Source organism: Homo sapiens, chromosome 9 (genome assembly GCF_000001405.40).
Source record: "Homo sapiens chromosome 9, GRCh38.p14 Primary Assembly".
Classification (NCBI taxonomy): Eukaryota; Metazoa; Chordata; class Mammalia; order Primates; family Hominidae; genus Homo; species Homo sapiens.
In genome coordinates this window covers 119,863,361-119,888,265 of record NC_000009.12, presented here as the reverse complement: position 1 = coordinate 119,888,265, position 24,905 = coordinate 119,863,361, and the positions used below count along the sequence as shown (strand labels likewise).

The 24,905-nt window shown below is 42.6% G+C and overlaps 1 long non-coding RNA gene across 1 annotated transcript in view; it reads left to right on the top strand.

Moving 5' to 3' along the window:
- LOC107987122 (uncharacterized) overlaps nucleotides 1-20,572 on the top strand; it is a 101,852-nt gene extending 81,280 nt beyond the window's left edge. Inside the window, exons 2-3 of the long non-coding RNA XR_001746919.2 lie at nucleotides 13,581-13,731; nucleotides 16,790-20,572. This is a non-coding gene — a long non-coding RNA (uncharacterized LOC107987122). The remainder of the gene's footprint in view (nucleotides 1-13,580; nucleotides 13,732-16,789) is intronic.
- The last annotated feature ends 4,333 nt before the right edge of the window (nucleotides 20,573-24,905 follow it).

Below are 24,905 nucleotides of genomic sequence, written 5' to 3'. Positions count from 1 at the left end.
AAGGAAAGTCTTGGACAAGCCTGGTAGGAATCCAACCAAATAACAGAAGATTCCAAGAAGGAATTGGGCTTTTGTTGGAAATCAGTTTGCTGTCCCAAGTTTAGAGACAGTAAAGAATAAGGAGGGCCAACGGTGGTGGCACATGCTTGTAATCCTAGCACTTTGGGAGGCCAAGTGGGGAGGATGGCTTCAGCCCAGGAGTTCAAGACCAGCCTGGGCAACATAGCAAGTCCCATCTCTACATAAAATGAATGAAATTAGCCAGGCATGGTGATGCATGCCTGTAGTCCCAGCTACTCAGAAAGATGAGGCAGGAGGGTTGCTTGAGCCCAAGAGATCAAGGCTGCAGTGTGCTGCTGCATTTCACCTTGGGGAAAAGAGTGAGGCCCCATCTGTTAAAAAAAAAGAATATGTAGGACAAGATCAAGGGACCAAGATATATATGAAAACCAGAGCTATTTGGGGAGAGGGGCTCATTATTATTTTTTGACTTGCTCCATCATATGTTCTTTTTCTTTTGGAAGAAACTGTACTCTTTTGGCATAGTCATAGTAAAAAAGCATAGCTCATGAGTTGTGTTGGCATCTAGTTCAGTTCACTCCTTCACTCCCAGACTGTAAACTCCTTGAGGGCAAGAACCGTCTTATTTATCACTGATTCCGTATCAGTATTACCCAGCACAGGACATTGCAGACAGCAGCGATTCAGTAAATATTAGTTGATTTGTACTGAATGTGCACATATGAATCTACAAGGAACAGGGAAGACTATTTGGAGCAAAGTTAGAAGGCATATAGTAGTCAATAAAACAGACAGGTCTCACTGGAGCATTATGAGATACAGAAAAATACTGGGTCTCCATTATTCTCAGGGAATTGGTGATTCTGCAGAGTAGGAATATTTATAAAAGCCAATCTCTTCAAACACAGAATTCCTTTTAAAAAGACAAATATATATATATATATATATATATATATATATATATATATATATATATATATATATATATAAAAGACCACAAGATTGGGTACCTATCTAAACAGATCATGTACTCCCTGACTTTTTAAGCAGGGCATTCACTCTACCATTTTGTGAGGACTCAGAGTAGCACAACAATTTTTCCATGCTGCATGGTCCTAGCACACAGCTCTCGGAGACACTGGTGCATGCAGAGCCACCAGACCCTGCACTGAATGGTACCAGGGCGCTGTGCTTTATGTTTTAATTGAGCTGATATTTACTATCCTCAGCTTTGTTTCACTCTCCTCTCTTAAAGTCAGATTGTCAGCTATTATTTTTTTTGTCATTTCTCACCAGCAGAGTCTTTTTCTATGAATAATCTCCTGATGCTTCATAAATAAGATAAATAAGCCTTAACATTCAAGCAAACAAACCATCTAGTGAGTACCCCTATTTTTGAGACACTGTGCAGGATGCAGTTTGGAAGCTATGGGGTCTCCTCACAGGTATGTGGGTCATACCTGACATATAGAGAACAGGTTTTTTTTTTTTCTTCTCCCACTTAGGGGACTTCGAGCAAGTTACCATTCCATTTTTAAGATACAATTCCCAGGTCTGTAAATTGGGAATAATAACAGTGCCTATCTCAGAGGTTTGTGGTGGGGAATTATTTGGAGAATGAATGCAGGTGTTAGGTGTTGTTATATTTATAAGAAGTTTGAAGACTGGTACAGGAGATAAGACCTGTAGATAAAGTCTGCAGGAAGGTCATGTCTTTCAGGGGCCACTAGGGATGTGGTGATGAGTTGGAGGCTTGAAGAACTGGGAGGATGTTTAGGAAGGGAAGAAAAATCCAGGCAGAAAGAATAGGCAAATGGTACAGAAGCTGGAAATGAAAGAACTTGCACACAGTAAGACAGCCCTTTCTTTCGATGGATCCACAAAAGGAACACAAGATAGGGCAAAAAATACAAATTGAGTCTAGCCAGGGGTTGGCAAACCACGGCTGAGGGTCACGTTGGCCCATTGCCTGTTTTTATATAGCCTGCAAGCTAAAAATAATTTTTCATCTTCATATGGTTGAAAAAATTAAAAGAAGAATTTATTGTGCATAAAAATTATATGAAATACAAATTTTAGTGTCTACAAATAAAGTGTCACTGAAACACAGCCACTCCCATTTGTTGATACATTATTTATGGCTACTTTTAGGTGACAAAGGCAGAGTTGAATAGTTGAGACAGAGACCATATGGCATGCAGAGCTTCAAATATTCACTATCTTGCCCTTTACAGAAAAATTTTGCTGGTCCATGGTTTAGATCCTAAAATGACCTAGATCCAACCAGGGATTAGAATCAACCTGTACTCCACAGGGAGATACAGAGCTGGGGAAATGGTGGTGTCAGGAATGAAAATGCCACCCTTTCTGATTATCACAGGCTCGCCATGTCCCCATTAAGCACCATCTCCTCTATAATGTTCTCCAAATAAGTGCTTTCACCAAAACTTTTGTTCTTTGAAAAGACAAACCCATTCTTCTTCCTTTTCATGTGGGAATTTTTAAAATGAATATTCAAATGGACTTTCTACCTTACTTACTAAGTACAGACAGCTCTGGGCCTCACGCTAATCAGAACTGGGTGCCATTCTGTAAGTCATTTTGTGCAATTTCATGTTCTCTCCCTCTGAAAGAAGGAGAATTACTTTGATAGATTAAAGCCGTTTCCTTATTGGAATGGGCGTTTTGTCTCTTTCCCTCTGCTCTTGTCCACTGTCTCTCGATGCCTCCAAGGTAGGGAGGCCCTAATTTCCCTGAGTCGCTCTTGGTAAAGCAATTTCTCATCTCCACCTGCCCTCCAGGGTCTCATTTGTAGAATGAGGGGGGCTCTGGTGAGGGTAGGAGATGGAAGGGGCTGGAAGGTGACCCGCTCCTTTCTGCTGTGGATTTGTGTTATAAAATATTTTCCACGCAGAGGCAGATGCTCCTGGTTGTTGGTCAAAGAGGTTTCTTTTAACTCTGGTCTTTGCAAGGGCTATGGAAGGGCATATGGAGAATAATTGAGCTCCCACTGTGGAATAAACTGGACACTGTGCTCTTTGAACTTAAACCTGAATAGCTACATTTACAACTCCGCATAATATGCAGGCATAATATGGGTAAAACACTGGGTTACTTGCTATTTCTTTCTTAGAAAGATTTTGATGCACATAGTAGTGCTTATACTTCAGTGTATTTAAGAATTACTTGGGGGCCTATGTTAAAATGCAGATTCCTGGACCCCACCTCCAGTCAGTGATTCTGATTTAGTAGGTCCAAGGTTAGGAGTGGAAATCAGTATTCTTAACAAAACCCTTGGATGATTCTGATGCTGGTACTCCCAGAACACCCCTTGAGAAATGCTGTCCCAAGATAACATTATATCCCTGGCTATTTTCTTAAGCTTGCAGGAGATATCCTAAGGACCTGGCACATACAGGGTGCAAAATAAACAGTGGCTGTTGTCATTACAATGTAGGGTTTGTCCTCATAGACATTATTGCTGTATATTTTTGTGTTCTTCTAATCTGTGTGGTTTGCATTTACACTCTGTGCTGATTCATACTGGATTCATGATTGACTTCTTGGAACTTCTGTTTCCTCCTTGGTGGAAGAGAAAGACAAATACCTAACTTCAAAAGAATGTCTGTTGTTATGCTAAATGCGAGAAATTCTCAGGTCACCAACTGAATTTCTATTGCTTTATTCTGGTTCCTAATTCCTTCCGCATAAATCCACACATGGGAAGGCAGTTCAGATGGGTGTCTTTCTCTGCTTTGCCCTGTGACCTTCAGATGAAAATGTGCTCTGCCCAGGTAATACTCTCTGCTGGGGTGGGGCTGTTTTCGGGACTATCCAGGATGAAACACATGCAATTTCATTGGTAGGTTTCTGTGGCAGGAGGCAAAATGGACCGAAAACAGGGTCAGGAAACCTGGGTCTGCCCAAACATTACAACTGGTGCTGCAACCAGTTTCTATCAACATGCAGGCAAAGATAACATACACCTAATTTTTCTTATCATGCTATTTTCTATTCATAAGTTTTGTTTGTTTATTTTCTGTTTATTTACTATTTATTTTCTACTCATACTATATATATATATATTTGTGTGTGTGTGTGTATGTGTGTGTGTGTTTTGAGACAGGGTCTCACTCTGTTGCCTAGGCTGGAGTGCAGTGGTGCAATTTTGGCTCACTGCAACCTTCACTTCCTGGGTGCAGATGATTTTTCTGCCTCAGCCTCCCGAGTTTAGCTGGGACTACAAGTGGGCACCACCATGCCCAGCTAATTTTTGTATTTTTAGTGGAGACAAGGTTTCGCCATGTTGGCCAGGCTGGTCTGAAACTCCTGGCCTCAAATGATCCGCCTGCCTCGGCCTCCCAAAGTGCTAAAATTATAGGCTTGAGCCACTGCGCCTGGCCTCATACAATTTTTTACTCAAACTATTTAGTGTTGTAAAACTATATTCCTAAAATACTGTCAGATTTCAATAAACACTGGGGCACACTGTTATCACCATTTACACGAATCTAACGCTTAACCATTGCAATGAATGGTTCATTCAATCCTGGCTCCCAAATGGACAGAAATAACTCCCCCCGAACCTTTCCTTGAGAATGAAACTTCTATAAGGTGTGTTCATTGCTAGCTACGGTGAAGTTCATTTTAGAATCACAAGCCCTTGGAACTTCATGTTAAGAGTTCTGCATTCTTGGCCGGGCATGGTGGCTCACGCCTGTAATCCCAGGACTTTGAAAGGCCGAGGCGGGTAGATCACGAGGTCATGAGATCGAGACCATCCTGGCCAATGTGGTGAAACCCCGTCTCTGCTAAAAATACAAAAATTAGCCAGGCATGGTGGCATGCCTGTAGTCCAAGCTACTTAGGAGGCTGAGGCAGGAGAATCACTTGAACCTGGGAGGCAGAGATTGTGGTGAGCCAAGATCGCGCCATTGCACTCCAGCCTGGACAACGAGAGCAAAATTCTGTCTCGGAAAAAAAAAAAAGAGTTCTGCATTCTTGAAGGGGTTCCCAGTGGCAGCTCACCTACTACCATTGTGCTTCTCTTTGCTACATCAAGGCTGCAAAAATGAACAGGGCAGCGTCTCCAGCTTTTCCAAGCTTATACAACAGTAAGAAAGACAGACACATCTGAAATAAAAAAGAAGTCTATGGGATAAACTAAAGGTTTGTGCAACATGTGTGGGGGTGTGGTCATTAGCAGGAGTGATGAAGTCCTATCTGAAGGAGATGCCCCTTGGACTCAGGCTTGGGAGGAAGAGAAGCTCCTGCATGAGCTCAGGAAGTGTCCAGGCATGGGCATGGGCATGGGCAAAGGCCCAGAGGTCACTAATTCACTGATTCATTTGCTAACCATTAAAACAAACAACAAACAAACAAACAAACAATATTTGAGGGGACTAAGTCAGGCATGGTGCTGTGGGTTTGAATGAAGACAAATGACATGGTTGGGGAAATAGGAAGATGCCTATTTTGGTAGTAGTGGTGGCTACAGAAGATGAACCTGGAAAAGTGCTTTAGGGCACATTTCATGTAATTTTATAAGCCAGTGGAAGATATTTGTGAGCAATGTAGAAACCCTGGAGCACATAAAAAAGCAGAAACTCAGTGCAAGCAATGCAATAGGTATTCATAGTCAGAGAGAATTATCAATAGATAAAGAACATCCCTGACATCCTCAGACCCCACCTCTACCCTCCATTGTCAACCAAGATCACTCTCTAAAGTGTCCACTTCACCCTGGCTTTGAGGGTCTCCTCAGAGCCTGGAGTCACATCACTCCTCCTTTGGTGTCTTTGCTATGATCGATAATTTGCACCAAATCCATTTTGGGAAGTTGCTTTTCTTCCATGACATACATCACAGGATATTTTTATAGCTTGATGAATCTAACACATCTGTGTAATCACACAGTTTCCAGAAATCCAGATGTTCCCCAGAGCACCTCTGGCTCCTACGCTCTTGCAAACATTTGCTGTAAACACCAAAGGCTGTTTGTTGGTTTTAATGTTCTAGCTCATCTCATTACCCAGTGAAGGTGAAAGATTGAAGCCAGATAGTGTTGCCAGTAAATGTTTTCGCCCCTAATGCATCTATTTCTAGTGACTGATTAGTATGCAGTGGGGCCCACAGGCCTACACAGTCTAAACGGCCAATCGTGTTCTGCCTACTGTGGTGCAGACAAAGAAGTCAGGCAGGGTGTGTGGATTCCCTTAGGTTTCCTGGCCTGCAGTCCCCAGCTGAACAGAGGGCGCAGCCAGCTGAGATGAAACGGGGGAAACAAGGAACCACTATCAAGCCCTGTACCACTGGGTTACTGGGACAATGCTATGAAAGCTGAGTGTAAAATGTTAACTGTATTTGGAATATGAACAAACCCTTCACAAAAGGTAGCTATTGTGCTTACTCTTATAACCATTGGTCTATAACAAAGACATGCACATACTGTCTTTAAAAAGCTCTGTGGTAATGGAACTTCACCCTGAATCTGAGGAAAGAACACTAGAACAGGAGGACTCTGGCCTGAGCCCTAGCTCTGCCACTGTGTCATTGTACGCTCTAAGGCACATCTCCCACCTTCTCTAGGCACCAAGCTGTCCATTTGTAAAGTGAAGAAGTTTCCCCAGATGATCCCTAAGGGCCCTTCCAGTTCTAACGCTTCTCCTAAGAGGCTGCTACAAAAGCAAGAGGAAGCATTTCAAACTCTAGAGTCGGTTAACTGATCACCTAAATTGGAGAATGTAGATGCCTTTCCCCTATAAAGCCTTAAAGAGCAGGTAGGAGGAGCTGGTTTTGGGTAAAGAGCCTTTCTCCTCTTTGTCCTCCTAAGGAGTCCCCTTCCAATCTCCTATCTCTATTCAGCTCATACATCTTAATGGGGTCTTTCTCCAACCCCTGCCTAATGACTCTCACCAATGAGACAAATTACGTCCCTTCTGTTATTATGTTGCTCAGCCTCACAGATTGAGACTATATATTTTGTAATTATTTCATTAACGTTGATCTCTCCCACTAGATTGTAGGCTCCATGAGAGCTAGGACCATGTGTGTTTTGACCTTCATTCTATCACCCACACCTGATTATGCTCAATCAGTATTTACTGAATGAGTAAATAAATAAATGAATGAAGTCTTGCCTGGGGAAGGGGGATGGGTTAGATAGCTGCCTTCTGAGATCTCAGAGTCCTGGGATATTTTACAAAAGCAAATATAGGGATGCAAAGTGATGGGCAAGTGCAAATACTGGCCAAAAAGCCAGATGAGCAGAAAGCAATCACCTTTTAGCCAGGACAAAATTCGATGTTAGAGGGAGAAAATGGGTGACAAAAGGAGAGGAATGAATATGCTATTAGACAGTAAAAACAAACAAAAAACCCACAAAACCCAAAAACTGTCTTACACACAATAAGAGCAAAGAAAAACAAATGCAGGGCATAATGTTTGAGAGAGGAAAGGACAGGGAAGGGTTTTCTGACTGAAGCCTGAAGATCAAGGATGGCACTGAGCACATTAAATATTTCACAATCATTATCAACTTATTAAGACAGAAAGATTGATTTGTTCTTATGTTCTTGAGAGAGAACTGTGAAGAGCAATAACCCATCTCGAGCACAATAAGCTCGCCTTAATCAGAACAGATAAAGCTTAGAGGATTGAGGAAGATTAAATGATGAAAGAATGAGTCCCTGGGGTTTTTTGGGGAGGCAGTGTAGTGAAGAGGAGAGAATGAGCAGGGGAATCCTATAGATGTGGATCGAAGCCTGGCTTACTGCTTAGAAGCTGGATGACCTTGGGCAAGTCTCTTTCCCTCTCTTAGTCCCAGTTTCCTTTTCTGTAGGATAGGAGTAAAAAAACTAAGTACCATGGGCAAAATCCAACCCACCACCTGTTTTTTTAAAATAAAGTTTTATTGAAACTTTTGTATTGTCAGTGCCTGTTTTTGGATTACATGAGGAGAGTAAATGGTGATAGGGACCCTAGAGACCACAGAGCCCCAAATCACTATAATGTGACTTTACAGAAGAGGTTTGATGACTCTTTGATTCTTGCTCTGAATGATAAAAGTGATGACCGCTAAACAGGTTTGTTTTGAATATTCATTCCTGCGGTGTCTTACGTGAGAAGGTGCTCAATACCTGTTGGTAGTGTTTGGTTGAATCAGGAAATATGCACGACTCACATAATATGCCAGAATGGGTAAAGACAGATGTGGGATCAGATCTCAGCTCAACTCTCTAAGAGCTGTGCAACCCTGGTCAAATTACTTTCCCTCTTTCAACTTCTTTATCTTCTCACCTATAAATTGTATAGAACAAAATTTATCTTGCAAAATGGTGGCTGGTAAATAAAACATAGTATGATTGCCACACATGTAAACACTCAATAATTTCTTATTCAAGAGCCTAAGGATAATAAAAATAATTGTTATTGGTCAATTATTGCCTTTGAGGTATCAAAATTTAGTGAAAGTTGCTGGAGTTCTCAGCTGAGGTTCAGAAACTACCTCCGGTAGCCACTAACATGGGATCATGGTTCAGAATCAGGGGTTCTTTGAGCTGGAGCCATCACCTGAGTCCTAGTACCATGCCTGGAACATAATAAGAGCTGAATATTTATGAATGAATGAATACTGCATGCATGAATGAATATAGGCTTAGGCATCAGCTCCAGTTAGGACTCCCCATTGGGTTGAAGTACTGCCTTCCAGGTCTTTTGGTGTCATCTCTAATGTTTCCTAAGTTGTTTCAGACAGCAGTGTGGTCCTTTCCACCCTGTTAGGACTGGAAGGAATGCTGGGGCCATTGTCCAGAGGATATTCATATAGGGCTTTCCCACTGTCATCTGTAGTTGGCAGTTGTCAATATTTCTGAATGAATGTGACTGTTTACAGGAGAGTGTACACATTAGAAGCAACTTGGGAGCTTCTTTTTTTTTTTTTCTTAAAGGTGATGTATATTGTCCTTTATGTATATGTATATGAGAGCAAATAAATTAGAGTTTCTTTTGGATGGGTTCAGGCATTGGCATTTTTTAAAACCTCGCCAGGGATGGAGAGTTTCTACACTGGAGGCTGTGGTTTAGCCTTGCTCCACTGGACCCTGAGGTCTCTTTGGCGGGTTTCTGGGCAGCCTCGGGAATGTCTGCAGTAGGAGTTCAGCTAAAACAGCTTCCAATCTTCTCAGCTGAGAAGGCTGTAGAAATCTGACATTGGATCTAGGCGTTTCAGGAAAGTATACTAGTTCATAAAACGTTAAGAAGTTAAGGATTTTATCCTGGGGGTGGGGGATCCTGAGTTGAAGGTATCTATTCTTAGAGCCTAAGCTTGCTGCTGGTGGTAGAGCAGTCTTTCTTGGTTTTTCAGAGACTGAGGAAAAAGCATCTCCTTGGATCCTGGAGAGAGCCAGTACAAGGGATCCCTAGGACCATGAGAAACATCTGGGTCCAGCTGACTAGTGGCAGAAGGGACAGCTAAAACTATGTCGCTGAGTTCAAGGGACTACTTACCTGCCCCAGAGTGAAGCTGTGTCATAGGAGGGAGGATTTAGGGCCCTAGGGTCTGGTATAGGTAGAGGTACAGGGAGCCTTCCGTGGGAAAGAGGCTTCTCTGTCTCAGGAGAGGCCCAAAGGCATGTGATCAATTTAGAGAGCTTGGCTAAATCAGTTTTCAGGGGTCTCTGAGACTGAGGACCAAATTGAATCAGTTTGGCCAAGACCCAGGCTATTCTAGACCAGCAAATGGATTTAATGTTTTGTCCCAAACATGATCAGTTGGTTGTGACTGCCTGGAACACCGTGTTGAGAAAGATTCTGAGGTCGTGTCTGACTTGCTAGGAAAAAGTGCCATGATTCTTGAGGTTGGCTGCATATGTGGGAGAGGGAGAGCTCTTAGTAGAGAAATGGCAAGAAGATGGTGTGTTAGAAGATTAGGAGACAGGACAGGAGCTCTCAGGGAGACAAGGCTGGGACCACATTTTGCAGGGCCTTGAATGCTAGGATAAGAGTTTGGATTTGAATTTTTTAGATCTGAGAAATTCTATTATGCCCTCTAAACAGAGGGCCAATGTTATCAGATGGAAGTTCGGGAAATATCTTTTAACTGCAGTAAGGAAGATAGCCTGAAGGAGGTGATTATGGCACTGGGTGGGGAAATAAGGAGGCCATTGCAATCCAAGATCCAGGCAAGAGATGAAAGATTTGTTTGTCCTTTTAATAATTGTTCAAGTGATGAGGTGTGAGGGTGGTAGTGGAGTGGACAATTAACTGTAGGATGGTCCTGTGACTATATGTTGTTTACTCCACAAGGTTTGGGTGCTTGGTATCCTGACCCCATCCCTTCTTCCAAAATGAGGAGTGAGAGGAAAGTAAGTTTTCCTTAACTCTACTCTGATCAATAATAACAGCAGCTGTAGTAACAGCCATTTATTTAATGTCTTTTTAAGTGCCAGGCACTGTGCTATGCACCTTGCATACATTATTCTTTTTAGTCCTCACAACAACCAAATGAGTTAGGATTATTTTATCATTCTTATTTTGCTGATGATGAAACTTCAGCATGGTTCAGAGACGTTAGGTAGTATGCCCAAGGTCTCACAGCTAGTAAGCAGCAGACCTCAGTCTAGCCTGGCTGAAAGCCAACATGCTTCACCATTACACTACTATACCCCTGTCTCTGCAATCAGCCACTCCCGTGGGTCCCCTTTGCAGCATTAAATAGACCTGCAGGCTTTCTGATTCCACAGGGGTACCGAGCTCTCATTGTTTCTCGTTAGCAGTTGTCTTCCCTCTCTCTGCGGGCACTTGGTTACATAATACCTGAAAATATTAAATTAGTTTTCCTTTACAGGAAATTATGTTCCATTAGGGCCACTGACATAGCTATTCTGAGACCTCCAAGAGAGTTGTGTGCTTTTGGAAATGTCTGACAAATCCGATTGCTCTCTGGCAAGGAGCTCTCTGAAGGCCTTGTGGCTGGTTGAGTAATTAGGCATTAAGTGGCTTTAATAATAGAAATAGGAGGCCCAGACAAGAGGGTTTCACCTGTGATCATCAGAGCTGCCTTGGGTCCCTCTTCTGGCAGAGAAAAGGAAGGGGGCAGAGGCACATGGTAATCTTCAAAACCATCCTGTGACTCCGCTTCCCATCACTCAGCACTCAGCACAGGCAGAGACTTGCTCCAGGAAGGAGACCAAGCCTCCAATCCTCTAGGGGACTCTGCTTTAATCAATCGCACTAGGATACTACTCTGCTTGAGTCATGCCTTTAACTCAAAATGCGCGGCAAAGTCCACCTTGATTTGGCATTCAAGATCCTGCAAGATCTGGCTTCCATATATTTTTCAGAATGCTTCTTTATATGAGCTAGTGGTCCTCATGACTTCCTGTTCCTCCTCATATTTGTTACTCCCTTGTTCTTGCTTGAGACACTTCTCCATGAAGAAGACCCGCCTTTTATGTCTGCATTTCCATATACACCCTAGAGTTCAAGCTTCAGCTTCAACACCACCTCTTCCTGGAAATTTTCTCTAAATTCTCTTGCCAAAGAAATCTTTCTCTCTCTTTTGCATACCCACAGCACTTTATAGCACTTAAACTAATTATCCTATTTCCTCTCACCTTGTATTATAATTATTTTATAGAAATCTCATCTCTCTTGCTATATGGTAAATTCTTCAAATGGACGGGCTATGTTTAACCCCTCTGTATAGCTTCCCTGGCTTCTGTTACAGAGCTTTGCATGTTGTGTTTAATAAATACATGCTATATACATTATTATCACTTTGAAGACAGATAACATAGCTAGAGATTGATGTCCCATGGCCATGTATCCATCCATTCATTCTTTCCCTCTAGTAGCTCTTACAAAAACTTTTCTCTACTCTCATGCATATCCCCAATACCAATATGGTATTGATGCACGCTGGGGAGGGAGGCGTGAGATGTTATGTCTCAACACACAGATTGATAGCTAAGAATCTTAAGAGTGGAGCCCCATTTCTCTAAAGGGAGGGTACATTTCAGACTTAATATAGTTGATATTTGGTATGGAGGAAGGGTACTGAAATTACGTGATAATTTGGATATTTTCTCCCCCATTTCTTAAGAAACAAGTTGGCCTTTCCAGCTTTATCTACCACCATCCATACCCTGCCCTGTGATCTAAACACACCAAACCATGCACTGACCCAGTAGCACATGATGGGAGATTTAAGCCTGCCAATACCTGGCTACTACTCTCCTCCAGATCCAGTCAATTTAAAAACGAACACAAAAACATAGGTAAGAAATAAAACCAGAATCAGATTCACTAATGGTAGAGCTTGATTAAAGAATGTGCCGGCCGGGCGCGGTGGCTCACGCCTGTAATCCCAGTACTTTGGGAGGCCGAGATGGGCGGATCACAATGTCAGGAGATCGAGACCATCCTGGATAACACAGTGAAACCCCGTCTCTACTAAAAATACAAAAAAAATTAGCTGGGCGTGGTGGCGGGCGCCTGTAGTCCCAGCTACTCGGGAGGCTGAGGCAGGAGAATGGCGTGAACCCAGGAGGCGGAGCTTGCAGTCAGCCCAGATCACTCCACTGCATTCCAGCCTGGGCGACAGAGCGAGACTCCGTCTCAAAAAAAAAAAAAAAAAAAAAAAAAAAGAATGTGCCTGCACTGGGACCTTCTTTCCTGAATCAGGACTGTGGAACCCACCTTTCTTTCCTCCTGAGACTGATGGAGAAGCTGGCAAACAGGTCTGCCTGAGCTTGTAGGAGCAAGCCCCTCTGCCCAGAGCCTACCAACCTGGGCCGAGGTAGGTGAAAGGATCCCCATGAAAGACATCTTTACTCATGCCTGGAAGACACCATTCTTTCTTGCTCTTTCCCATGTATGCCCTTTGGATGATGGGATGAGCTGCTCTTTAGCCTTACCAATCAAATCCATTATTCCTCTTGTGGGGAGAGGTGAGTAAGAGGGTAGATAGAGATACCTTAGAAATCCCCAGTTCTCTCTCTTTTAGGAGAGGACTAGAAACCTCTGCTTCTCAATACATCTGTGACATCAGAGGCTTCAAGTCATTCTCCCATGATATATATTGTATATCCACTTGGCATCATGCCTTTGCCCAGGCTGGTCCTTTTCCCCAGAGTTTCCCTCTCTCCTATTTCCACTTGGCAAGGTCCTACTCAAATGCCACCTCCTCCTGGAAGTCTTCCCAGATCTGTCTCTATTCTTCGCAGGAATTCAATAGCTCCCTTAAGTTTTCTATTAGCCTTGGTGGTGCTGTTATCACAGCACTTACTCCAGCTTGTGTTCTGGGGACATGCATGCAATATGTCTCCTTTCCTTCCTGCATTCCCACCCCTGCTCCCTGGATGGCAGTCTCCATGAAGGACAGCCCCCATACCTCTAGTGCCCACCTTGAGCCCAGCACAGGGTTGGTGCTCATGAATGTTGGTTGGATCTGCTCAGAGAACTGGCTCTATGATGGTACAGGGGCAAGTAATGGGATATGTAACTCTGGGCTAAACATGGACAACATTCTTTGTTGGCATTCATATTCCTGCATTTAGAACTGGACCATGTGGTGCTGGAGAGGCCATTGCACTGACTGGCAAGAGAAGACCTGCTTCACCGTGGTCCACACAGTAATTTCCCTGGCTTCACTCAAGGCTAACTGTCCTCCAGCAAAACACCCCTCTTTTCCTCTCACAGATGAAGCAGGTGAGTGACTCCATTATCTTCCAGAGAGCACTCCTGTGAACGTAGCCTTGTAGCACAAGCTTACACCCTAATCATAACGCCCGTAGGAGAGGCCATCAATGCTGAGTGGATATTGCAGGAAGGGAGCTCAGATATGGGGCCTGACAAGTCCAGGTTCTTGTACAATTCTTGGTGTAAACGAATGGTTCATAAAGTCTGATTTTCTTCCTTCTTACAGCTTGAAAAAGGGCATGATCTTAGTGGATTCTCACAATAACCCTGGGGAAAATTTTTATTGTCGTTATTAGTATTTTAAAATTGTCTGGTTTAAATCTTATGTAGGAGAAAAGAGAAGTCTTTGCTTTAAAGCAAATAAAGAAGGGAGGATGTTTATCCAGTGGTTAAGAATACAAAGATTATATTGATAATATATGGAAAGTACTTAGCATGATAGGTCATAGCAAGTGGACACTCAGTAAACAGTAACCACTATTATCGTTATAATCAGAGATGGGGAGTGACTCACTCAAAGTCACAAAGCTAGTTAATAACAGAGCATTGCACCTGGAACTTTAGGCTCTAGGTTCCCTGCCCTTGCACTTGCCCTTCCTTACTTTCATGGCTTTGTGTGTGCGACCTTCCAGATCCTTTTTATGTCTTGGCCAAATTCATTCTGCCACTCAGCAGGCACACACATGCATGCACACACATGCACACACACACAAACCGAAGACCAAAAATGTAAAAAATGAAAAAAGAACTCTTCCACCACGATGCAGGGAAAAAATTACTCTTAATTACTGGGGCTTCTCTACAATTATAGGACGTGTGTTTGAACTCTGAAGGGTCCTCTCCTGAGGATAACCTTTATTTGCCTGATTGCGTCTGTTCAGTTAATTCTGGCTAATTACTATTTTCTTCCTATTAGATTCTAATTATATACAGTATTTTCATTATAAAGCGTAATGTTTCCCAGAGAACCATGTCAATTATACAGGCGATATTACCGGAGGTCTGGTTTACCTCATTAAGCCCAAGCGATGAAGCCATGCATCTGATTAAACCCACAATTTGCAGGGTGGACTTTAACTATATGTGGGTACCAGTGAGTCTCACCTAAAACTTGCTGGATGTGGGAGAGAGCTAGAAAGCCTAGGAGAAGCTCCTCAAAGGATGTGGCAGCCCATTTGGATGTGTTGGATTTTCTGCAGGAAGAACAAGTGTTGATTTATATTGTCTATTTTTAAGCACCCCATGATTTCTAGTTTGGCTGAGGCATGAATTTGATGCTATCATGAAAGAGTAGGTCTTACCCTTGCTTCAAATGATTCTGGTAGAACACCCAGCATTTCCACCTCCATGCCTCAATATACTGACCATCTGATATCTTTCTGAACTTCTGGTTTACACACCCAACAACCATTTGATATTTCATGAGATGTCTAATAGACACCTTATCCTTAATATACCTAAAATAGAATTCTTAATTTCTGCTCTCCCTGAGCCCCAAATCCATTCATGCTTATATTACTCCCATCTCGGTAAATGCCATAACCTTGTCTACCCAGATGCTCAAGTGAAATGCCAGGAGCTCATACTGATGTCCTTCTTTCCTTTATCTCTCACATCGAATCCACAAAGTCTCCTGTGAACCCTAGGTCCCAAATATATCCTGGATCCATCCAGTTCTTCCCACCTGCACTGCTATACCCCTAGTCTAGGCCAACGTCACCCCTGCTATATAGTGACTTGGTCTCCTTGTTTCATTTCCTTTCACATGTATGTATCCCTTCTCCTAATGCCATCAAGGTAGTTTACGAAAAAGGAAAAAAAAAATCCATAAAGACCATGTTACTCTCCTGCTTAAAAGCCATACAGATGTTGTTTTGGAATTAAAAGCAAACTTCTTACTGTATCAGTAAGACACTCCATGATTATACTTTTGCCTACTTATTCAACAAGTATTATTCAAGGTCTAATATAATATGTGCCAGACACTGTTCTGGAATAAACAGTTCTTGTTTGTATGAAAATAAAATAATAAAATAGACACAATCACCCTCATGAGCACTGCTTTTTCCTATCATCTTGATAGTACTTAATATTTCATGTTTGTTTTTATCCAGCTGGCTTGTCTAAACGGCCTGGGTCCATGTCTGTCCCCCATACTCCAGCCCCAGCCCCTGTACCTAGAAGCTTCTCAGGAAATGTGGGCTCTTCTGTTATGATTTGACACTTGAGTAGGAATTGAAAAACAAACTTGATTAAAAAAACACACTTTTATTGGATTCTAAAGGAATTAATAAAATCCTTCCTTTGGGGATTAATAAAACAGGATTTTTTAATATTAGCTTTATTTTTTTCTACTTCATAAAAGCATTTTAATCAACATTCTGAGCTTTAAAGGATGGATTCAAGCTCTGTTCTCTATTTGGGGTGTGGGCAGGGGTTTAATTTATAGATAAGTTCCATTTTTGATATTTGCTCCTCTCTCTGAAAAGTGTTACCATTATTGTTTCCCTAATAAAAATCTCTGGAGTTCAAGCAAAAAGAGAAGTAAACTTTTGTGAGCATCTCATAATTAAGAAGTTAATTTTTGATAATTATAGGCCATGAGAATATTGCTTTAGTTTATAGAGATTCAGTACATTGTTTAAAGTCCTAGATGACTTAGTTATAGTAATACTGACTGTGTGGGCTCTGGGGTCAGGAGGCCTGGGTTCAAATTCCGGATCTTCCATTTATTACCTGTCTGTGACCTTGAAGACATTTACTTAACCTTGTACCTCACTTTCCCTATTTATAACATGGGGATAACAGTTGTTTCTGCTTCCTGGTGTTGTTTTAAAAATTAAATGAGTGAATCCACTTAGAACAGTGCCTGGCATATATATGCTCCATAAATGTAAGCTGCTATTATCTGAGTCTAAATCTAAACTCGTCTTACCCCAAACTACCTTTCCTGCCATTAACAAGTACCACCAGCAGCATTAGTAGCATTCATTAAATACTCTCTACAACCCAACCTCTAATCCCTTCAAGACACTTGTAATGCACACATTATTACTTCAATTTACAGATGAGTAAAACTGAGGCTCCGTAAGGTACTCATCCGAAATCAGGCAGAAGGTAAGTGACAGATCTAAAAGTCATACCCATGTTTGCCTGTCCCCAAAGCCCACATTTTTACAAGTTGTTACATGTTCTCTTAACTTCAAAATGCAACATATTCTAGACATAGAATGTGTTATAGACAGAATTATCTTCCCCTCAAATTCACTCCTCAAGGTGATTGTATTTGGAGATAGGGCAGTTAAAGATGCAATACAGTTGAAATGAGGCTGCTAGAGTGGGCCATAATCCTATCTGACTGATGTTCTTATAAGAAGAGGAAGAGGTACCTGAGGTGCTCGGGCAAAAGACAAAAGGCCATGTGAAGACACAGGGAAAAGGTGGACATCTACCCGCCAGGGAGAAAGGTCTCAGAAGAAACCAAGGCTGCTGACACTTCCAGCCTCAGAACTTCCAGCCTCAGAACTATGAGAAAATATTTTCAGTTTAAACCACCCAGTCTATGGTATTTTGTCATGGTAGTACTTGCCAACTAACACAGAAGGGAGCATTGTTAGTAGGAAAAACACACAAAAAAGATGTCAGGTGACTTGTGTCTTATTTACTGGGCTGTTTCCAGTGCTCATCTCCATGTTGGTGAGAGGTGACAGCGTGCTGGCAGTCCTCAGAGCCCTCACTTGCTCTTGGCACCTCCTCTGCCTGGGCTCCCAATTTGGCAGCATTTGAGGAGCCCTTCAGCCCACCACTGCACTGTGGGAGCCCCTTTCTGGGCTGGCCAAGGCTGGAGCCCACTCCCTCAGCTTGCAGGGAGGTGTGGAGGGAGAGGCACGAGCGGGAACCGGGGCTGCGTGCGGCGCTTGCGGGCCAGCTGGAGTTCCGGGTGGGCGTGGGCTTGGTGGGCCCGGCACTCGGAGCAGCCAGCCAGCCCTGCTGGCCCCGGACAATGGGGGACTTAGCACCTGGGCCAGTGGCTGCGGAGGGTGTACTGAGTCCCTCAGCAGTGCTGGCCCACCGGTGCTGCGCTCGATTTCTCGCTGGGCCTTAGCTGCCTTCCCACGGGGCAGGGCTCGGGACCTGCAGCCCGCCATGCCTGAGCCTCCCACCCACTCCATGGGCTCCGGTGCGGCCCGAGCCTCCCAGACGAGCACCACCCCCTGTTCCATGGCGCCCAGTCCCATCGACCACCCAAGGGCTGAGGAATGGGAGCTCACGGCGCAGGACTGGCAGGCAGCTCCAACTGCAGCCCCGGTGCGGGATCCACTAGGTGAAGCCAGCTGGGCTCCTGAGTCTGGTGGGGACGTGGAGAGTCTTTATATCTAGCTCAGGGAGTGTAAATACACCAATCAGCACCCTGTGTTTAGCCCAAGGTTTGTGAGTGCACCAATCGACACTCTGTATCTAGCTGCTCTGGTGAGGATGTGGAGAACCTTTATATCTAGCTCAGGGATTGTAAATACACCAATCAGCACCCTGTGTTTAGCTCAAGGTTTGTGAATGCACCAATCGACACTCTGTATCTAGCTGCTCTGGTGGGGCCTTGGAGAACCTGTGTGTCGAAACTCTGTAACTAATCTGATGGGGACGTGGAGAACCTTTGTATCTAGCTCAGGGATTGTAAACGCACCAATCAGCGACCTGACAAAACAGGCCACTGGGCTCTACCAATCAGCAGGATGTGGGTGGGGCCAGATAAGAGAATAAAAGCAGGCTGCCCTAGCCAACATTGGCAACCCACTCGGGTCCCCTTCCACACTGTGGAAGCTTTGTTCTTTTGCTGTTTGCAATAAATCCTGCTACTGCTCACTCTTTGGGTCCACGCTGCTTTTATGAGCTGTAACACTCACAGCGAAGATCTGCAGCTTCATTCCTGAGCCCAGCGAGACCACGAGCCCACCGGGAGGAACGAACAACTCCAGACGCGTTGCCTTAAGAGCTGTAACACTCACCGCGAAGGTCTGCAGCTTCACTCCTGAGCCAGTGAGACCAGGAACCCACCAGAAGGAAGAAACTCCGAACACATCTGAACATCAGAAGGAACAAACTCCAGACGCGCCACCTTAAGAGCTGTAACACTCACCGCGAGGGTCCGCGGCTTCACTCTTGAAGTCAGTGAGACTAAGAACCCACCAATTCCGGACACACTGGGTTCATAGGGGGAGCTTAGGAAATGGAGGGACCAGTGTTTAGAAAGCGCCTTCTCAGTCAAGATTGAGGATGGTGTCCTCTTCCCAGCCCTGATGTGGCCACCATGGTGGCACTGCATGGCAGTGGCCTGTTTTCCCCACCAGACTGGGTGCTCCATGAAGACTAAAGCCAAGTGTGTCTTTTTGTTCAGCTCAGGCATAGTCCATGACAGCGTTCTGATAATTACATATTGGCTGCATGTTTGCATAGCCATGAGGTCTGTGGGGTGCCTTTCAGCTCTACAAGCCTCTTCTCTAAGGAGTTGCCCTTGGCTGGTCAAGAAGCTCAGGTGTGGGAAGTGGGTTTTACGTGGCAGTCCTGCTGGGCCCCTGCCAGAGTGCTTGGAGCCGCTAAGTCTGGGCCATGCAGTCTGTTTACATGAGCATTAGGGAACATTGCTGAGATGTACTGTAAACATGGGGCAGGCTGTCAGCATTGTGCTGGTTTCTGCATTATCTCGGTGCCATCTCAGAACAGAGGCAGGCCAGAAAGCCCCTGCCAAGTGGAACTGGAGCCTGAGAGATAGGCACGAGCCTCCTAAGTCTGGCTTCCCTGCAGGGACGAGCCTTCCTGAGGGTGGGTTGGATGTGGGTTCATACAGCAGGGATGCTGAGCCAAGCTCCCACTCCACTTAGGGGCTTGGACCAGGGTAAGAGATGGAACTAACTTGTTAAAGGAAAAAAAAAAATAGAGAAAAAATGTGAAAGTTTTTCGCTTGAAAATATAGATCAGGGTAGGTTCAAAGTCATTGTGCTAATTTCACCCTTATTATATTTCATTTACTTTCTTCAATAAGAAAGCTCTTCCTGGATTTTAGCTGAATCCAGAATTGTGCCTTATCATGAGTGTGCCACAACAGAGGCAGAAAGACTGAGAGCCATTGAACTAACTGAGCAGGCCATGCAGAATCATTTAAGGGCTCTTGGAAGGCTTCTTTCTCCCAGATAATTCCTTCCCGGAGGCCTAAAAGTCTTCTCTTTGAGTTGTTTTTCTCTAAGAACTTAACCGTGGTCATAGCCTCCTGATGGGTGGTCCCAGTGGTGAGCCTGATGACCTGGCTCTGCTGCCCAGTGCTGCGGCTTTGTAGGCGTGTCTCCTTGGGCTGGTCCCCGGATGGGGATCCTGCTTTGTCCTCAGTTTCCTCACTGGTGAAATGAAGAGTTTGGTCTAGAATCATGACTTTCTCTGCCTCTATGAATTGAGAGCAAAGATACCTCCATCTGGATGTTATAGCTCCTCATGCCAAATATCAAGTGTTTGGCAAAATCAAGGCATTCTTGCAGAGGTGACTGAGGTGGGAACTATGGCAGTTCATCTGCGTGGTGCATATGGTAAGGCAAGTGTGTGGGGTGGGTAAGAGGAGTGGGCATGAGGCCCCCAGGCCAGGCATCATATTGTGTGTGACCAGCACCTGGACCAGCTCTGGGGACATGGGTTCTGGTCCTGATTCCAATATTTGAAACCAAGATGGGTCATAAGATTGATTTGTAGCCAATAGAATGTAGGCTGCAATGATGTACACTGCTTCTATGCCCTTACAACCTTGTATGAACCTCCATGTTCTCCTCACCTTTTCTTTTGTCTTCCCTTATCCACCTTTCCTTTCCCTTCCCTTCCCTCCTTTCTCTTCCCCTCCCCTCCTTTCCCATTGTACTTTCCTCTTTTCCTGTACTCTCCTCCTCTCCCCCCACACTCCTCCTGCACACTTTTTTTTTTTAAAACTTTTATTTTGGATTCGGGGGTACATATGCAGGTTTGCCACAGGGTATATTGTGTGATACTAAAGTCTGCGGTATGATTGAACTCCACATCCAGGTAGTGACCATAGTACCCATTAGGTAGTCCCTCAATCCCTTGCTCCCTCTCTACCTCCTCTTGTAGTTCCCAGTGTCTATTGTTCCCATCTTTATGTCCATGTGTACTCAACGTGTAGCTTCCATTTATAAGTGAGAACATGTGGTATTTAGTTTTCTGTTTCTGCATTAATTCACTTAGGATAATGGCCTCCAGCTGCAACCATGTTGCTGCAAAGGAAGTGACTTCCTTCTTTTTTATGGCTACATAGTATTCCATGGCATATATGTGCCACATTTTCTTTATGCAGTCCACCATTGTTGGGCACCTGTGTTGATTCCATATCTTTGCTGTTGTAAATAGTGCTATGATGAACGTAAGGTGCATGTGTCTTTTTGGTAGAATGTATGAATGCATGGGTCTTTTTGGATATATACCCAGTAAAGACATTGCTGGGTAGAATGGTATTTCTGTTTTAAATTATTTGAGAAATCTTTGAACTGCTTTCCACAGTTGCTGAACTTGCTGAACTAATTTACATTCCTATCAACAGTGTATAAGCATTCCTTTTTCTCCACAGTCTTGCCAATATCTGTTATTTTTTTACTTTTAATAAGAGTAGCCAGCCATTCTGTGAGAGAGTGAGACTCTGTCAAAAAAAAAAAAAGAAGAAGAAGAATAGCCATTTTGACTGGTTGAGATAGTATCTAATCGTGGTTTTGATTTGAATTTCTCTGATGATTAGTGATGATGAACATGTTTTCATATCTTTGTCACCCACTTGTGTGTCTTCTTTTGAGAAGTGTCTGTTCATGTCCTTTGCCAATTTTTAAATGGGATTATTTGTTTTTTGCTTGTTGAATTGTTTAACTTCCTTATAGATTCTGGATATCAAACCTTTGTTAGCTGTATAGTTTGCAAATATTTTATCCTGTTCTGTAGATTGCCTGTTTACTCTGTTGCTAGTTTATTTTGCTATGCAGACGCTCTTTAGTTTAATGAGGTCAATTTTTGTTTTTTATTGCAATTGATTTTTGGGGACTTAGCCATAAATTCTTTGCCAATGCTGATGTCAATAAGGTTATTTCCCAGGTTTTCTTCTAGAATTGTTATAGTTTGAGGTCTCACATTTAAATCTTTAATCCATCTTAAGTTAATTTTTGTATACAGTGAGAGGTACGTGTCCAGTTTTAATCTTCTACATATGACTAGCCAGTTATCCCAGTACCATTTATTAAATAGGGAGTCCTTTCTTTGTTACTTATTTTTGTTGACTTTATTAACAATAAGATGGTTGTAGGTGTGTGGCTTTATTTCGGGGTTCTCTATTCTATTCCACTGGTTTATGTGCCTATTTTTGTACTAGTGCCATGAGGTTTTGGTTGCTGTAGCCCTGTAGTATAGTTTGAAGTCAGTTAATGTGATACTGCTAGCTTGGTTCTTTTTGCTTAGGATTGGTTTAGCTATTTGAGTTTTTTTTCCGGTTCCATATGAATTTTAGAATATTTTTTTCTAATTCTTTGAAAAATGACATTGGTAGTTTGATAGGAATAGCATTGAATCTGTAGATTGCTTTGGGCAATTTGGCCATTTTGATGATAGTGATTCTTCCAATCCATGAGCATGAAATGTTTTTTCCATTTGTTTGTGTCATTTTCATTTGTTGCTTTCTATGATTCATTTAAGCAGTGTTTTGTAGTTCTGCTCGTAGAGACTTTTCACCTCCTTGGTTAGAAATACTCCTAGATATTTTTTTTATGTGTGTGTGTGTGTGTGTGTGGCTATTATACATGACATTGAGTTCTTAAATTGGCTCTCAGCTTGAATGTTACTGGTGTATAGAAATGCTTCTGGTTTTTGTACATTGATTTTGTATCCTGAAAGTTTACTGAAGTCATTTATCAGTTCCAGGAGCTTTTTGGTGGAGTATTTAGAGTTTTCTAGGTATAGAATCATATCATTAGTGAAGAGATAGATTTCTTCTTTTTCTTTTTGAATGCCTTTAATTTCATTCTCTTGCTTGATTGCTCTGGCTAGGACTTCCAGTACTATGTTGAATATGATTGGTGAGAATGGGCATTCTTGTCTTGTTCCAGCATTCAAAAGGAATGCTTCCACCTTTTGCCCATTCAATATGATATTGGCTGTGGGTTTCTCATAGATGGCTCTTATTATTTTGAGGGATGTTTCTTCAATGCTTAGTTTGTTGAGGATTTTTATCATGAAGGGATATTGGATTTTATCAAAATCTTTCTCTGCCTCTATTGAAATGATCATATGCCTTTTGATTTTAATTGTGTTTATATGGGGAATCATATTTATTGATTTGTGTATGTTAAACCAACCTTGCATCCCAGGAATAAAGCCTGCTTCATCATGGTGAAGTAACTTTTTGATGTGCTGCTGGATTTGGTTTGCTAGTGTTTTATTGAGGATTTTTGCAATCTATGTTCATCAGGGATATTGGCCTGTAGTTTTCTTTTTTCATCATGTCTTTGCTAGGTTTTTATATCAGGATGATTCTGGCTTCATAGAATGAGTTATGGAAGAGTCCCTCCTCCTCAATTTTTTGAACTAGTTTCAATAGAATTGGTACCAGCTCTTCTTTGTATGTCTGGTAGAATATGACTATGAATCCATTTGATCCAGGGCTTTTTGTGGTTGGTAGGATTTTTATTACTGTTTCAGTTTTGGAACTCATTATAGGTCTGTTCAGTGTTTCAGTTTCTTCCTGATCAAATCTTGGGAGGTTGCATGTTTCCAGGAATTTATCTACTTACTCTATATTTTCTAGTTTGTGTGTATAGTGATGTTCGTAATGGTCACTGAGGATCTTTTGTATCAATTGTAGTGTTACCTTTGTCATTTGTGATTGTGATTATTTGGGCCTTCTTTCTTTTTTACTTTGTTAATCTAGCTAGTGGTCTATCAATCTTATTCATCCTTTCAAATAACCAATTTTGGTTTTGTTGATCCTTTGTATGGATTTCTGGGTCTCAACTTCACTCAGTCCTGCTCTGATTTTAGTTATTTATTTTCTTCTAGCCCTGGGATTAGTTCTTGTTTTACTAGTTTCTCTAGGTGAAATGTTAGATTGTTAATTTGAGATCTTTCTAAATTTTGGTGTATTTAGTACTATAAACTTTCCTCTTAACACTGCTTTTGCTGCATCCCAGAGATCTTGGTATGTTGTGTCTCTGTTTTCATTAATTTCAAAGAATTTTTTGATTTATGCTTTAATTTATTTTTTACCCAAAAGTCATTCACGAGCAAATTGTTTAATTCCCACATAGTTATGTGGTTTTGAGAGATCTTCTTGGTATTGATTTCTATTTTTGTTCCATTGTGGTCTGAGAATATGTTTGGTATAATTTCAGTTTTTTTGAATTTATTGAGACTTGCTTTATGACCAAGTGTGTGGTCAATCTTAGAGTATTTTCCATATGCACATGATAATGTATGTTCTGTAGTTGTTGGATGGAGTATTCTGTAGATATGTTTAGTTCCAATGGTCAAATGTTGAATTTAAGTCCAGAATTTCTGTGTTTATTTTCTGTCTGATGATCTATCTAACTCTGTAAGTTGGGTCCCACACTTTTCTCATGTTCATTGGACACCAGATAAAGAGGATCCATCTGAAGACTCTATGGCCTTAGAGGATGAACAAGCCACTAAATTAAAAAAGCCCAAGTCCCTGAATGATTTTGTGAGCAGTGCTAATCCTGCCAAGGCTCTCTTTCCCCCTAGATTTAAGCCACTGTTATTTTTGGGTTGTCATAGCAGTTGACATACCTTGACTAACATGCAAGAGTTCTGCATTTTTGTGCCAGTAACCCCTGAGAAGAAGTTATCTCTTTCCCTGCATTACAAGACAATATATGGGTATGACATAGACTCAGGGTGCCCTGGAAGCACAAACTCAGGCTTGACTGGTTTGACCCAGAGTAGATGTTCCAGGAAATCTTCCCAGAGGAGGTAGAAATGTGGTAGAAACAGCAAAGACTGAGGTCACATAGACTTGGGGTAGGATCCTAGTGCCTCTAATCATGAGTTTTTCAGCTTCAGGTAATTAGCTTACCCCTACTCTTTGCCTAAATTGAGCCTACTCATCCTTCTGGTCTCTGGAAATGTCACATCCAGAGAGT